This window comes from Homo sapiens, chromosome 8 (assembly GCF_000001405.40).
Source record: "Homo sapiens chromosome 8, GRCh38.p14 Primary Assembly".
Classification (NCBI taxonomy): domain Eukaryota; kingdom Metazoa; phylum Chordata; class Mammalia; order Primates; family Hominidae; genus Homo; species Homo sapiens.
The window spans coordinates 89,976,905-89,989,680 of record NC_000008.11 but is presented as its reverse complement, the minus strand read 5'-3'; the positions used below and the strand labels follow the sequence as shown (position 1 = coordinate 89,989,680).

At 38.6% G+C, this 12,776-nt stretch overlaps 1 protein-coding gene across 7 annotated transcripts in view, besides 4 other annotated features; it reads left to right on the top strand.

Annotated features, from left to right (window-relative positions):
- Window positions 4,654–5,450: an enhancer, noted in NCBI's record as "NANOG-H3K27ac-H3K4me1 hESC enhancer chr8:90996459-90997255 (GRCh37/hg19 assembly coordinates)". NCBI's record gives its function as "activates a minimal SCP1, AML or CMV promoter by ChIP-STARR-seq in primed H9 embryonic stem cells {active_cell/tissue: H9 hESC(primed)}" and the evidence as "EXISTENCE:reporter gene assay evidence [ECO:0000049][PMID:30033119]".
- Window positions 4,654–5,461: a biological region, named in NCBI's record as "NANOG-H3K27ac-H3K4me1 hESC enhancer GRCh37_chr8:90996459-90997255".
- The window catches only part of NBN (nibrin), a 51,337-nt gene continuing 43,574 nt past the window's right edge, over window positions 5,014–12,776 (top strand). For 3 of the 7 annotated variants that reach the window (NM_002485.5, XM_011517046.2, XM_047421796.1), the window contains exons 1-5: window positions 5,014–5,156; window positions 6,826–6,959; window positions 8,158–8,306; window positions 8,788–8,947; window positions 11,358–11,461. In NM_002485.5, coding sequence (NP_002476.2) covers window positions 5,120–5,156; window positions 6,826–6,959; window positions 8,158–8,306; window positions 8,788–8,947; window positions 11,358–11,461 — 584 coding nt within the window. In that variant the 5' untranslated portion in view covers window positions 5,014–5,119. Of the gene's footprint in view, window positions 5,157–5,409; window positions 5,474–6,825; window positions 6,960–7,678; window positions 7,729–8,157; window positions 8,307–8,787; window positions 8,948–9,252; window positions 9,343–11,357; window positions 11,462–12,776 lie in introns of those variants that run through there. The other 4 variants (NM_001024688.3, NM_001440380.1, NM_001440379.1 and 1 more) reach the window with 4 other exon arrangements.
- Window positions 5,262–5,461: a silencer, noted in NCBI's record as "silent region_19349". NCBI's record gives its function as "represses an Ori minimal core promoter by ATAC-STARR-seq in GM12878 lymphoblastoid cells {active_cell/tissue: GM12878}" and the evidence as "EXISTENCE:reporter gene assay evidence [ECO:0000049][PMID:35858748]".
- Window positions 5,582–5,921: an enhancer, noted in NCBI's record as "active region_27608". NCBI's record gives its function as "activates an Ori minimal core promoter by ATAC-STARR-seq in GM12878 lymphoblastoid cells {active_cell/tissue: GM12878}" and the evidence as "EXISTENCE:reporter gene assay evidence [ECO:0000049][PMID:35858748]".

Here is a 12,776-nt window from a genome sequence, read left to right as displayed (position 1 = left end):
TGAGCCTAGCATGTAGAATGAGTTTTCAGTGTAGTTGAGAGTGATGGCAAGAGTTGGGATGGAGCAAAATCTCTCACATATGTGACAGTGTCCTTAGTGAATATGGGCAAGTGACATGGTCATACCTGCAGTAGGTAATAGAAAAAGAAGGTCTAGAGGGTGGATAGTTACACGAAATGATCCTGACCAAGGAGAGGTTTTGCAAAGTAGGGAAGAGTAATACACTAAAATGGAAAGTAAAGTTTAGGGGGAAGTAGTAACCCTAGTGGCCCACAGCTGTACTGGATATGAGTGGGAGAGGCATTGGAGCAAACTAGCCTAGAACCTGTCATGGGAAGCTGTGGTCTAGGGTGACAGCAAAGTTTCATTTAAGGCAAGATGTAAAGGGAAGACTCTGTCAAGACCCTAAAGATTTAGAAGAGTTTGTTTATACCATGACAGAGGTGAGAGGAGATGCCAGCAAGGTACAAGAAGCAGGGAGCATGGAGCAATAAGCAGACCAATTTGCTACCAAAAGCAAACCCTATTTGCATCATGCTCCTCTTCAATTTTTTTCTGGGCTCTGATTATTAGACCTGTGTTGTTACCAAGCAACAGATAGAAATTGTGGGATCTGTTTTCCTTCATCACTCTGCCACTACCATCTTTCATCCTGGCAATCAGACAATAAGTTGGGCTAAGTTATAGTATTTCCCAGCAGGGAAGAACTGGGCCTGATAAAGGAAGGAGGTGGCTTTACCCAGAAGGAGCTGTAGAACCCTGCCAACATGAAGCAGCTGGAACAAGACAGTACTGATGGGACTGCCTTCTGAGGATGCTGAACAAAAGGAGAGTGGAAAGTAAATTTGTATGAGAGAGTTTATTGATTTGAGAGCAGTCTCCAGGGAGAGAGGATCGAACATTCCAGCAAGGACTCTGGGAAACATTGCTATCATGCTTCTATGACGGCTTTTAGAAGTTTGTGGAAAAGTGGTGGCCCACGCTAAGAGAAGTAAAAATGCCACAGCTGCCATGGCAGATGGTAGAAGTAGGGATCAAACTGCTCAGGGAAATGGGTATGCTACAGTGGCCATATTATGTAGGGCTGGAAACCCCCCAGATGTCAAAATTCCAGTTCAGATGTGCCATTTATTAAAGAGACATGGAATTCTCTGGTGAGAAGGGTACCAGCATCACTGAGAAGCTCAGTGGTAGGTCTCCTCTGTAGGTCATGGTTGATGATAAAAGATGCTGTTATGGAATTGAGTTCCCAGATAGGACTGGGGATAATAGAATCCTGAAATGATAGAGGCCAGCTGGTGGTACTTAACCATCCGAATGGTATAATTATCTTGAGTGGCAAGATTGAAGTGGCAGCAGAGCTCTCGACCCAGAGTGAGCTTAAAAGATGCTTAATAGAATAAGGCACCCCTGTGGGGAAAGACAGTTAACCAAGAGTAAACTCAATCTGTTCAGTGAACAGGTATCAAGAATGGAAGACACAAGGCTCAGAGCAGCAGCCTCAACAAAAAGTCACAGTCTCTTTCCGAATTTCCTGATTTGAGCCACTTTGCCAATCCAGAACCCATTGACTGGTGGAGAGGCAGGACTGCCAGTAAGAAGGACCCTGCAATCCCATAGCAAGAATATATGGTAATGACCTCCCCGCACCCCACCCTACTCTCAGTCTTTCCCTTAAGGGACCTATAGCCATTCGCTTGGAAAATCATACACTGAGGAAAAGAGAATGCCCAAATACTTGGAGGGCTGTGGGACATGATCATTATTGATACCCATGAACCCAAAATATTATGACTCCTGGTTAAAGCAGAGGTATTCAGAAGCCAGAGAGTTAAGGGAGTCCTTGTCCAGGTCTGGCATACAGTGGGTCCACCGAACACATAGACTTACGTGGTGGTCATTTTCCTAGTTCCCAAATATATAATTGAAATGAACATCCTTGGTAGTTCTTACAATACCCACCTCAGCTCCTTGGCCTGTAGGGTAAGAACTATCAACGCGGGCAAGGCCAACAGGGAGCAGCCTCAAATTGTACAGCCATGACAGTGAGCAAGAACAATATAGGGGAATGATAGATATTAGTGCTTTCTTTTTGGCTCCCTTTTTATCTCCATTTAATTCATCATACTTGACCTACAAAAGCCTAACAGTTCCTGGAGAATAAACAGCCGACTACTGCAATCAACAAAGTAATAACCCCAATTAGAGCTGCTGTACCAGATGTGAAATCTTTACAAGAGCAGAACAACATGACCTCAGGCAACAGGTTTGGGGTGATTGATATGATGACATGTGCTTCCCCAACCTTAACAGAAAGTAGAATCCAAAAGTGCTCATATTTAATTAGAAAAAATAATAGAAAATACTTGCAATGTTGACCCAGAGCTAAGCTGTATCTCCTTAACCTCTATCATAATGTATTCCCAAGAGACCTGAAGTGTCTGGACATGCTGCAGAACATCCACTGTTCTACTACAGTGATGGTATTATGCTCACCAGATTGGATGAGTAAGGATTTGGCAAACAGGTTGGAGGCCTTGGTGAGATATGTATACTTCAGAATGTGGAAGAAAATTCCTGCAAAATGTTGATGCTTCACTAAATCAGTGAAATTTAGGGATTCTATGATGCAGGGCATACTTTTGTGTGTCCTACTTAAGAAAGATCTGCCTACTTTGAAATCATGTTTTCTTCCACTAATATTTATTATTTTACTTTCCTATGTAAATAATGATTCATCTGGAATTTAGATGAATTCTAATTCATCTAAATGAATTAGGGGGATCAGTCTTCATTTCCTGTGTTATGTTAACACATTTCTTGTGTCACGTTAATAAACGGGATCATTTATTTGTGGGGTGGGGTGGGGTCACATGAGACTTTCCTTTGTTGCCCTGTAATCACCTTCGAAAAATCAAATTACCTTATGTGTCCACTTTTTTTAGGTCCCTCTATTCTGACTCATTTGCCTGTTTTCTATCCTTGTACCAAGCAAACACTGACTTAATAACTGTAACTTTATAATAGATCTTAGTATTTCATAATTTAAATATTCCAGCTTTGTTCTTCAAAATTGCCTTGGCTATTCTAGGCATTTGCATTTCCATATAAATGTTAGAATCTGCTCATCCATTTCTACTCAAAAAAAGCATTTGAGATTGCTGAAGTTACATTGAATCTATAGAACAATTTTGGGGGAAATGACATCTTAACAATCTGTGAACATGATCCATTATCCTTGCATTTATTTAGGACTTTTTAAACTTTCTGTCAATAATGTTATGTAGTCAATCATGTTTTGTATTACATAGTTTGATCGATGTATTACCAAGCACTCGATTATTTTGGTGCCATTATAATTAAACATGTAATTTTCTATTTATTTTCTGGAATAAAGGTATACAATTAAATTTTGTATCTAGATATTGTATCTATAACCTTATTAAATTCATTTATTAATTAAAATAGTTTGCCAACAGTTTTTTTGATTTTCAATATAGGCAATCGTGTAATTTGTGAATAATGACTGTTATTTCTTCCTTTCCAATCTGAATGTCTTTTGTTACTCTTTCTCCTTTATTGCATTGGCTAGAGCATCTAAAGCCATGCTGAAAATAAGTGGTAAGAGCGTGTACATCCTTGTTTCATTACTGATGTCATGGGGAAATGTTCAATAATTTACCTTAAGTATAACGTAAACTGTAGTTTTTTTTGTAAATGTCCTTTATCAGATCATGGATGTTTTCTCTATTCCTACTTTGCAGAGAGGTTTTTATCCTAAATGGGTGCTTAATTTTATCAATTTCTTTGCTACTATCAAGATAATCATGATTTTTCTCCTATTTAAAATTATTATGATGAATTACATTTATTTTTTCCCCCAATGTTAACCCACCCTTTTGTTTCTGGATAAATCTCACTTAGTTATGATTATTCTTTTTATACTACTACTTGATTCAATTTGCTAATATTGTGCTTAGGAGTTTGCATCTATGATGATAAGAGATTGGTAAACCAGCCTTTTTTTTTTTTTTTTTTTGAGACAGGGTCTTGCTCTATCGCCCAGGCTAGAGTGCAGTGGCATGATCATGGCTCACTGCAGCATCGAACTCCTGGGCTCAAGTGATCCTTCTGCCTCAGCCTCCTGAGTAGCTGGGAATACAGGAGCATGGCACCAAGCCCTGCTAACTTTAAAATTTTTTATAAAGACAGGGTCTTGCCATGTTGCCCATGCTGATCTTGAACTCCTGGCCTCAAGTGATCCTCCCATCTTGGCCTCCCAGACTGCTGGGATTAAAGGAGCGAGCCATGGTGCTGGGCCTAAACAAGCCTTTTTAAAGTGACTTTTCCCCCCTATTACAGAATGCTTTTGAAAGCCAAAATGTATGTGATCAGGAGTGTGCTCTCAGATGTTTATTTAGTAGTGCGCAGGATGTAGACTACATTATGTGGGACGTGGGTGGTGATGGGTTGGGAAGCTACTGGAATTAGGAGGAGAGCTTGAACCAGCTTGAGACAGGTGGAAGTGGAAAGGAAGGGTATTAAATACAGGAGACTGCCCAGTATTTAGCATGTGATTAGCTGAAAGTGTGGCATTATGAAATAAAGACGTTAAGACAAGTTGATTTGAACTTAGAAAAGAGTAAAAATAATGAGTTTACTTCGAGGTGAAATCCTTATCTTCATCATTATTATCACCATTACTAGATTCCAAAGGAATACCTGCAATTTAAGAAACTGCAAACGCACGAAACTACATAACTGGTAAGTATTTTAATGCATTTAATTAAAAATTTTCCTTATGTTGCTTTGGAGTTAGTTTTTAAAATTCTTTTCGTTCATAATCAGGAAAGGTAGTAACCTTACATTCAGCGACACCTTAGAAACATACCCTTTTAACGCAGCACATTTCAATACAGATTGTGCTGTTCCTTTTCCAACCACCAGGTGGCGGGCAAGCGCCCAAGTCGCACTCCCGCCTCATCCAAGGCAGCCTGCGTGGCTCCCGGGAGCGCGCACGTCCCGGAGCCCATGCCGACCGCAGGCGCCGTATCCGCGCTCGTCTAGCAGCCCCGGTTACGCGGTTGCACGTCGGCCCCAGCCCTGAGGAGCCGGACCGATGTGGAAACTGCTGCCCGCCGCGGGCCCGGCAGGAGGTAAGGGCAGAAGGGAAGCCTCGGGGCCTATTTTCCCGGTAGCGACTGCCTCGGGGGAGGGCCTGCGGGTGATTCCTGCGTCGCGTCCGTTCCTGCCCGGGGACGCTGCGGAAGCGGTCGCAGAAGCGGCGAGTACGCTGTATGGCAAGCGCATATTCTTCCCGGGCAGCACGGCGGCTGTGAGCTGGAATTCAGCGCGGGCGGTGGGGTGATTGCGGCGCCCCCTGGTGGCAGTCCTCCGCGCCCCTCCCCTGACTCCCCCTCCCTCCCAGCCTCACCCCCGCGCCGTTGCAGCGCTAGGGCTGGATGGCCTGCGGGTAAGCGGCAGCAGGCGCCTAGTGGGAACCCCCGGCAGGAAGTTAGCATGGGCGGACCACACGGGGGCCACACATGACTTGTGAAGAACTACTGGACAGTTTGGGGAAATGACTACCACGAAAAGGCTTACTTTCAGTTTTGTTTCAGACTCCTTTTCCACAATGTCATCAGAACAATGGGAAAAGTCGATTTTTTCCCATTCATTTCCAGCGGTGTGAAATGTGATCACATGTTAATTGGTTGCCCGTGGTGGGTGTGAAGGGTCTTGTCCTCGGGAAGTTTACATGATGATTGGCAAAGATCTATGTAGAGACTAAATGGACTGGCAGGGTAAGAGAGTATGGAGAGCGCCAAACTAAATAAATTTTATACTGTGAAGACTCACAGGTCAAGGCGTCCCTGGAGACCTGGCTCTTCTGGACTCCCTACTCTTTATCTGCCCTAATCTCCCTGCCACTCGGGTAATGAAATTATGCTCCCAGACTCAACTCCGCATGTCTCCAATATATATACTGTTACTCCAACAACTTATGATTTACAGCAATTTTAAAAGAAACTGATAACCCTTTCCCACTGATTGGAGATGTTATCTTTAAGATAAAAACAAATTTTCAAAAAATGTACACGTGCATCTTAGTCTGGACTTTGTTGCATTGGTCTGTGTTGTTTACTCATGGTCCAGTACCATACTTTTAGTTTTATGGCATATTTTGCCATCTGGTAGGGCAAGCTCCTATTATATTATTCACATTTTTCTTGATTTTTTTTTTTTTTTGAGACGGAGTCTCACTCTGTCACCGAGGCTGGAGTGCAGTGGCACTGTGTCGGCTCACTGCAACCTCCATCCCCTGGGTTCAAGCAGTTCTCTTGCTTCAGCCTCCCAAGTAGCTGGGATTACAGGCTTGAGCATCTTTTTTTATAGTTTCCTGATATTTTTGTTTATCAAGTTCCAAACATAATATTGTGATTGTTGCTAGGTAATACATTAAGTTTTTAAGTTAATTTGAGGGAACATTGACTCCTTTCAGCATTGCTTTCCCTTTAGAAAAATGATGTAGCCTTCTATCTGTTTAGATAACCTTTTTTTCTTTTTCTCTTTTTTATTGTATTTTAAATTTTGTTGTTGTTACTCCTGAAACACCATAGTTAGATAACCTTTGATAGCCTTCAGTGAGGCTTTACTGAAAACACAAGTTTGACATATGTAAAGTTGACTAACATTTGAATAACAAAGGTGTTTTATTTAATATTTGTCATACCTATATCATATACACTTACATGTATGTGTGTGTTCGTGTACATGTGTATGTGTCTATCAACTTATCTTTTTTTAAAAAAAAATTTATCTCAGGAGAACCATACAGACTTTTGACTGGCGTTGAGTACGTTGTTGGAAGGAAAAACTGTGCCATTCTGATTGAAAATGATCAGTCGATCAGCCGAAATCATGCTGTGTTAACTGCTAACTTTTCTGTAACCAACCTGGTATGTTACTAATTTTATTTCACTAGTTTCCAGTAAGGGGGTTGAAATCACAAAATATTCTCTTGGTTTGTATGTGAGAGAGAGTTCACAGGATTTGTCATTTTATAGAGCTGTGTAGACTTTTTTAATGTTAACAAAATTAAATACTTATATTGTGGCAGTGGTACCAGTGGTATTTGTTCATTTTGAGATTTGAAGTTTCTATTTCAGTAATTTACTCTTTGTTTTAGTTAGAAACTCAGAGGAAGTAGGACATAGTTATTTTTATTTGCTTACTAAACATTTATTGTTTACTATTAGTTTGGTGCAAAAGTAATTGCTGTTTTTGCCATTAGCAGTAATGTGTTTTTATGTGTCAGTAACTGTGCCAACCCTGCGAATAGAACAATGAACAGACCTTCATGACTCTGGCTCTTAAAGAGGTTATGTAGCTGTGTGGAAACGGGCATTTCTCATATAATACAAGTTTTTGCAATGGGAATTGATTTGTTTTATTAGGGAAATGCTTACTTATGCCCCACAGCTCCTTTAAATGGCTTTCAGTTTGTTTTGATCATAACCTTGGGTGATAAAAGTGCTAAAAAAAATACATAGGAATATCTGTACTCATGATAACGCTGGTGGTAATAAGAAAGATGAGCCATTATTTTAATCAAAGATTGCATATATGCGATATGAATTTCTTCAGTTTTATTTAGGTTTTGTTTCTGTTCTTTTAGGTATAGAAAAACATTTTGGAAATTTCTACAGAAAAAGTAAAATTGTTACTGTAAGTCAGAAACACTAGCCTATAACCTCGTATTCTCATGGGACTAATTTTTACAATGTGGTTTTGATACTGTAAAACAAACAAAAAAAGATCTAGGAATGAAATTGTCATGTTTTAAATGAAACAGACTGCACCAAAGCAAAAAATTCTCAAATGTGTGTGAGGGGTCAGGAGAATCCCCACTGACTTACACAAATAAAGAACATGTGTGTTCTAGGAGGGGTATTCCTGGGTTAAGAAACTTCCCTAAGGGGAAATATGAATTGTTAGTTGAGTGATCTTCCTCTCAAGGCAACCGAAGCAGTAATTGTTGTCTGCCGTGTTGGGAGGTTAGCCACCTGCCTATTGTCTTTTCTTTTGAAAACTTTTTCTCTGAGAAGTGAATGTACTGAGTGGTAAAAGACTTTAAATTATTTGCTAACTTTTCAGAGTCAAACAGATGAAATCCCTGTATTGACATTAAAAGATAATTCTAAGTATGGTACCTTTGTTAATGAGGAAAAAATGCAGAATGGCTTTTCCCGAACTTTGAAGTCGGGGGATGGTATTACTTTTGGAGTGTTTGGAAGTAAATTCAGGTAAGACATTTTAAAATTGATTTTAAAATGGACAGCTTTGTTTCAGCCAAATCCTAAAGGAAAATGATATTTCTGATTAATGAATTTAAAACAGTATAATTTAGTTCCTGCTTAGCACAGTATTGGACTCTGTGCCATGGGTGGTGAGTGCATTTTGTACATCACGGTGATGAGAGTTTGAGTGGGCCCTGAGGGACTTCATGGGAAGTTACATTTCTTCGATTCCTCATTGGTGAAGGTATAATGTTAACTTTTGGTCATTGTTTTTTCTTCATTTGGACTCAAGACTTAGGATTTGATAATTTTCTAGGTTACAAAGCTTAATGATGAGGAACTGATAATTTCATAGGTTACAAAGGGTAACAATAAATAAAAGTTACAATAACAGTATATGATGTGAGCTTAAAGTTTTAAAGTACTAAAAATTGCCATCTCTGCAACTCTGATACTATGACTTTATTTAACTTATTCTCATTTACAGAATAGAGTATGAGCCTTTGGTTGCATGCTCTTCTTGTTTAGATGTCTCTGGGAAAACTGCTTTAAATCAAGCTATATTGCAACTTGGAGGATTTACTGTAAACAATTGGACAGAAGAATGCACTCACCTTGTCATGGTATCAGTGAAAGTTACCATTAAAGTAGGTTGAATGTCTTGTTCTTATGTTAAAAATAAGTTATTTGAATTTAAGCTTACCCACTATACACAGATTTTTTTTTAATTACTTTAAAACTATCAGAACTGTTAGTTGTAGATTTATATATACCCACTCCATCCCTTTGTATACCATTTAGGCTTGAGTGGCTTTTCATATAACCTGTTTATTATCTGAGACAAGCCAAAAGCAACTAAAATTATATTTCAGATTTTGTTTAGCATTTTAAAAAGCGATTCTGTTGTCCTTCCACCGAGAAGGTTATGACAGTGCATACTTTGTGTTTTCAGTCTTAAAGCAACGCAACTAGAGATTAACTGCCAGTCTTCAAAGTTTGCATCTCATGTCTTTCTATCAAGTTGTCTTTCTCCAATCTCCAGGTGATTCATCTCCTTTTAAACAGGTTGACCTATAGATTTGTGGGATCCTTTTAGGTTAATATCTATAGTAAAAAGCCACAAATACTTAGATTCCTTTATTAAAAATCCTTTAGTATTTAATATAATTAAACTAGAATTATGTTTTATAGCTAAAGAGTTATCGTGGAGAAAGGCTTGCCGCTCAGCTGGAACTCAACTTGTACTTTGGTGGGGTTGTCTGTAATCAAGGGTTTTTTTATTTTTGCACATTTATGAAATTGATTTTATAAATTCAGCAGTGTGATTAGCCTCCAGAGTACTAATATATGCATATAAACTTACAAATAGTAGATTTACAAATCAAAGTGTCCATTTATGGTTTTCAGTAGGGATGCACCTTTACCAGAATATTTAAGTGTGGGCCCTAGCACAGTCCTCTTTAAGATATTACTTAAGAAATAGAGTAAGTAATCATACACTAGCTTGGTTGGTGTGAAATACAATCAAAGGTAGTTAAATTGTCTTGAGAGATATTTTACTACATCTGTGACAGACCTGGACACTTCCAGCGAGTGGGATGCTGATGACCACCTTGTGAATTGCTCCATTACACACACCAACGTGGTTTACAGAGTAATTTGTTAAAAAAAATTCCTGGTCATTCATATGCCAAAATAGAAAACCTTGTTGTTATATTTTTTTTTTTGGTAAATTTTCTGAAAGTACAGTTAGCTTATATTTTTTAAATCATTGAATGTTAGAGCCAAAAAGGAATTTAAAGACCATTTATTCTTACTATTAGCTACTTAAAAACAACAACAACAACAACAACAAAAAAAGCGTTCAGTTCAACTTTTATTTTCTGAAGTGTAAACTGAGGCATGGACCAATTAATTTCCCAAGTCACATGTATTAGAGTTTACCCAATACAGTGTTGATTTGCACATTACTGGTTCATGCTAGTTTATTTCTTTCACATTGGAAAGTGGTATCTTTCAGGTTCCATTCTTGAGAGACAATCTAAATCTGCTTGCCCCTATTTAGACAATAAAATACCCTGTGTTATTGAAAGCATATTCATGGCTGGGTGCAGTGGCTTGCGTCTGTAATCCCAGCACTTTGGGATGCCGAGGTGGGAGGATTGCTTGAGCCCAGGAATTTGAGACCAGCCTGGGCAACATAGTGAGACTCCATCTCTACAAAAAATTTTAAAAATTAGCTGGGTATGGTGGCATGTGCCTGTAGTCCCAGCTACTCAGGAGGCTGAGACAGGAGGATTGCTTGAGCCCAGGAGGTTGAGGCTGCAGTGAACCAGGATCACGCCACTGCAGTCCAGCCTGGACAACAGAGCGAGACCCTGTCTCAAAAATAAAAAAGCATATTTATATTATTCTGAATCTTATTTTCATTGCCCACTGTAGCATTTTCTAATGTTTGTCATATTTTTTGGATGTATCATATTTGAGGCTTATAGCTTAATTCACATGTGAGTTTAAGTTTCTTTTTTTCCACTTTATATGTACTTATTTTGTGCTTTTACCAAAAATTATTTTATTTACTTTCTCAAAAAGGCTTTATTGCATAGTTACAATCTTTTTGAAAGACAATTAGTCTAAAAATAGCTCATGTTCATCTCCTAATATTGTCTTCCCTGAAGCAGATATGTTACATTTCCTCAATTCTGAAATATATTTTTAACATTTTAATGTCTTCGAAAGTGGAATGCATTTTAAAATTGAATTTTATTTTATGTTGTTCCACCCTTTCCAAAAAAGCAGTTTTAAAAATTAGTATTATAATCGGTGACTTCTTATAATTGAGTGATTATACTGTGATTTATGTTCTAAAATAATGCAGTGACCAAAGACCGACTTCTATTTTATAGATTGTGGCTTCTTTATAAATTTAGAGAGATGAAAGGGAAAACATTATTTTTTATGGATGTAAACAGCCTCTTTGTAGTTTATAACTTAAAACTTTTCTTTAAAAAATGCTAGCATGTGAATATATATATTCACATGTTTTCTTCATTGTAGACAATATGTGCACTCATTTGTGGACGTCCAATTGTAAAGCCAGAATATTTTACTGAATTCCTGAAAGCAGTTGAGTCCAAGAAGCAGCCTCCACAAATTGAAAGGTATATTATGTATTTTAAATATAACAAGATGTCACTTATATGATAGCATTGATTTTTATTTAAGTTAATTCCCTCTTTAATGCTTGTTTCAGGATGTAATAGTTGCTGTGTTATAGTTCGGTATTATTAATGGAAGGTTTTTTGTTAGTTTGTAAAGAAAGAGTTCCCCAAATTTCTTTGTTGGTTATTCTGTATCTCTGAAACAAATGTTAAATATGTGCTAATATTTAAAGAAAAAAATGGAAAGACAGTAAATGGCACTGAGGTAACCTCATGGTCAGAAGAGCACATATGTCAGTTCCAGGCATCACGCCACAGTTAGCTCTGGAATTGTGTGGTGCAGCAGCCCTCTTTGCAAGCCACATAGTCCAGAATATTAACAGCACCATAGCTTTGGGAATGGAGCTTAGTTTTTCTGAGCTCCAGTTACTCATTGCAAAATTGAGAGTAATACCTACCTAGCTGAGTTAAAAAGTCAGGAAACAACAGATGCTGGCGAGGCTGTGGAGAAATAAGGCTTTTACACTGTTGGTGGGGGTGTAAATTAGTTCAACCATTATGGAAGACAGTGTGGTGATTCCTTAAGGATCTAGAACCAGAAATACCAATTGACCCAGCAATCCCATTACTGGGTATATACCCAAAGGATTAAAAATCATTCCACTGTAAAGACACATGCACACATATGTTTATTGCAGCACTATTAACAACAGCAAAGACTTGGAACCAACCCAAATGCCCATCAATGATAGACTGGGTATATGTCCATACCTATGCACATATACACCATGGAATACTATGCAGCCATAAAAGAGAATGAGTTCATGTCGTTTGCAGGGACATGGATGAAGCTGGAAACCATCATTCTCAGCAAACTAACACAGGAACAGAAAACCAAACACCGTATGTTCTCACTCATAAGTGGGAGTGGAACAATGAGAACACGTGGCCACAGGGAGGGGAACATCACATACCGGGGCCTGTTTGGGGGTGGGGGACAAGGGGAGGGAGAGCATTAGGACAAATACCTAATGCATGTGGGTCTTAAAACCTGGATGACAGGTTGATAGGTGCAGCAGACCACCATGGCACATGGATACCTATGTAACAAATCTGCATGTTCTGCACATGTATCCCAGAACTTAAAGTAACATTAAAAAAAAAATTTTAAATGTTATGCCAGTTAGGAATTTTATTGCTAATTTTAATGTGTTTTGAGCTGCTATAAGCTATTTGGCTTAATGTTAGTTTTTTAGGGACTGTTTATACCGGATAACAGCTGTCTGCTTTTAAAAGTAATAAAAAATCAGGTTTT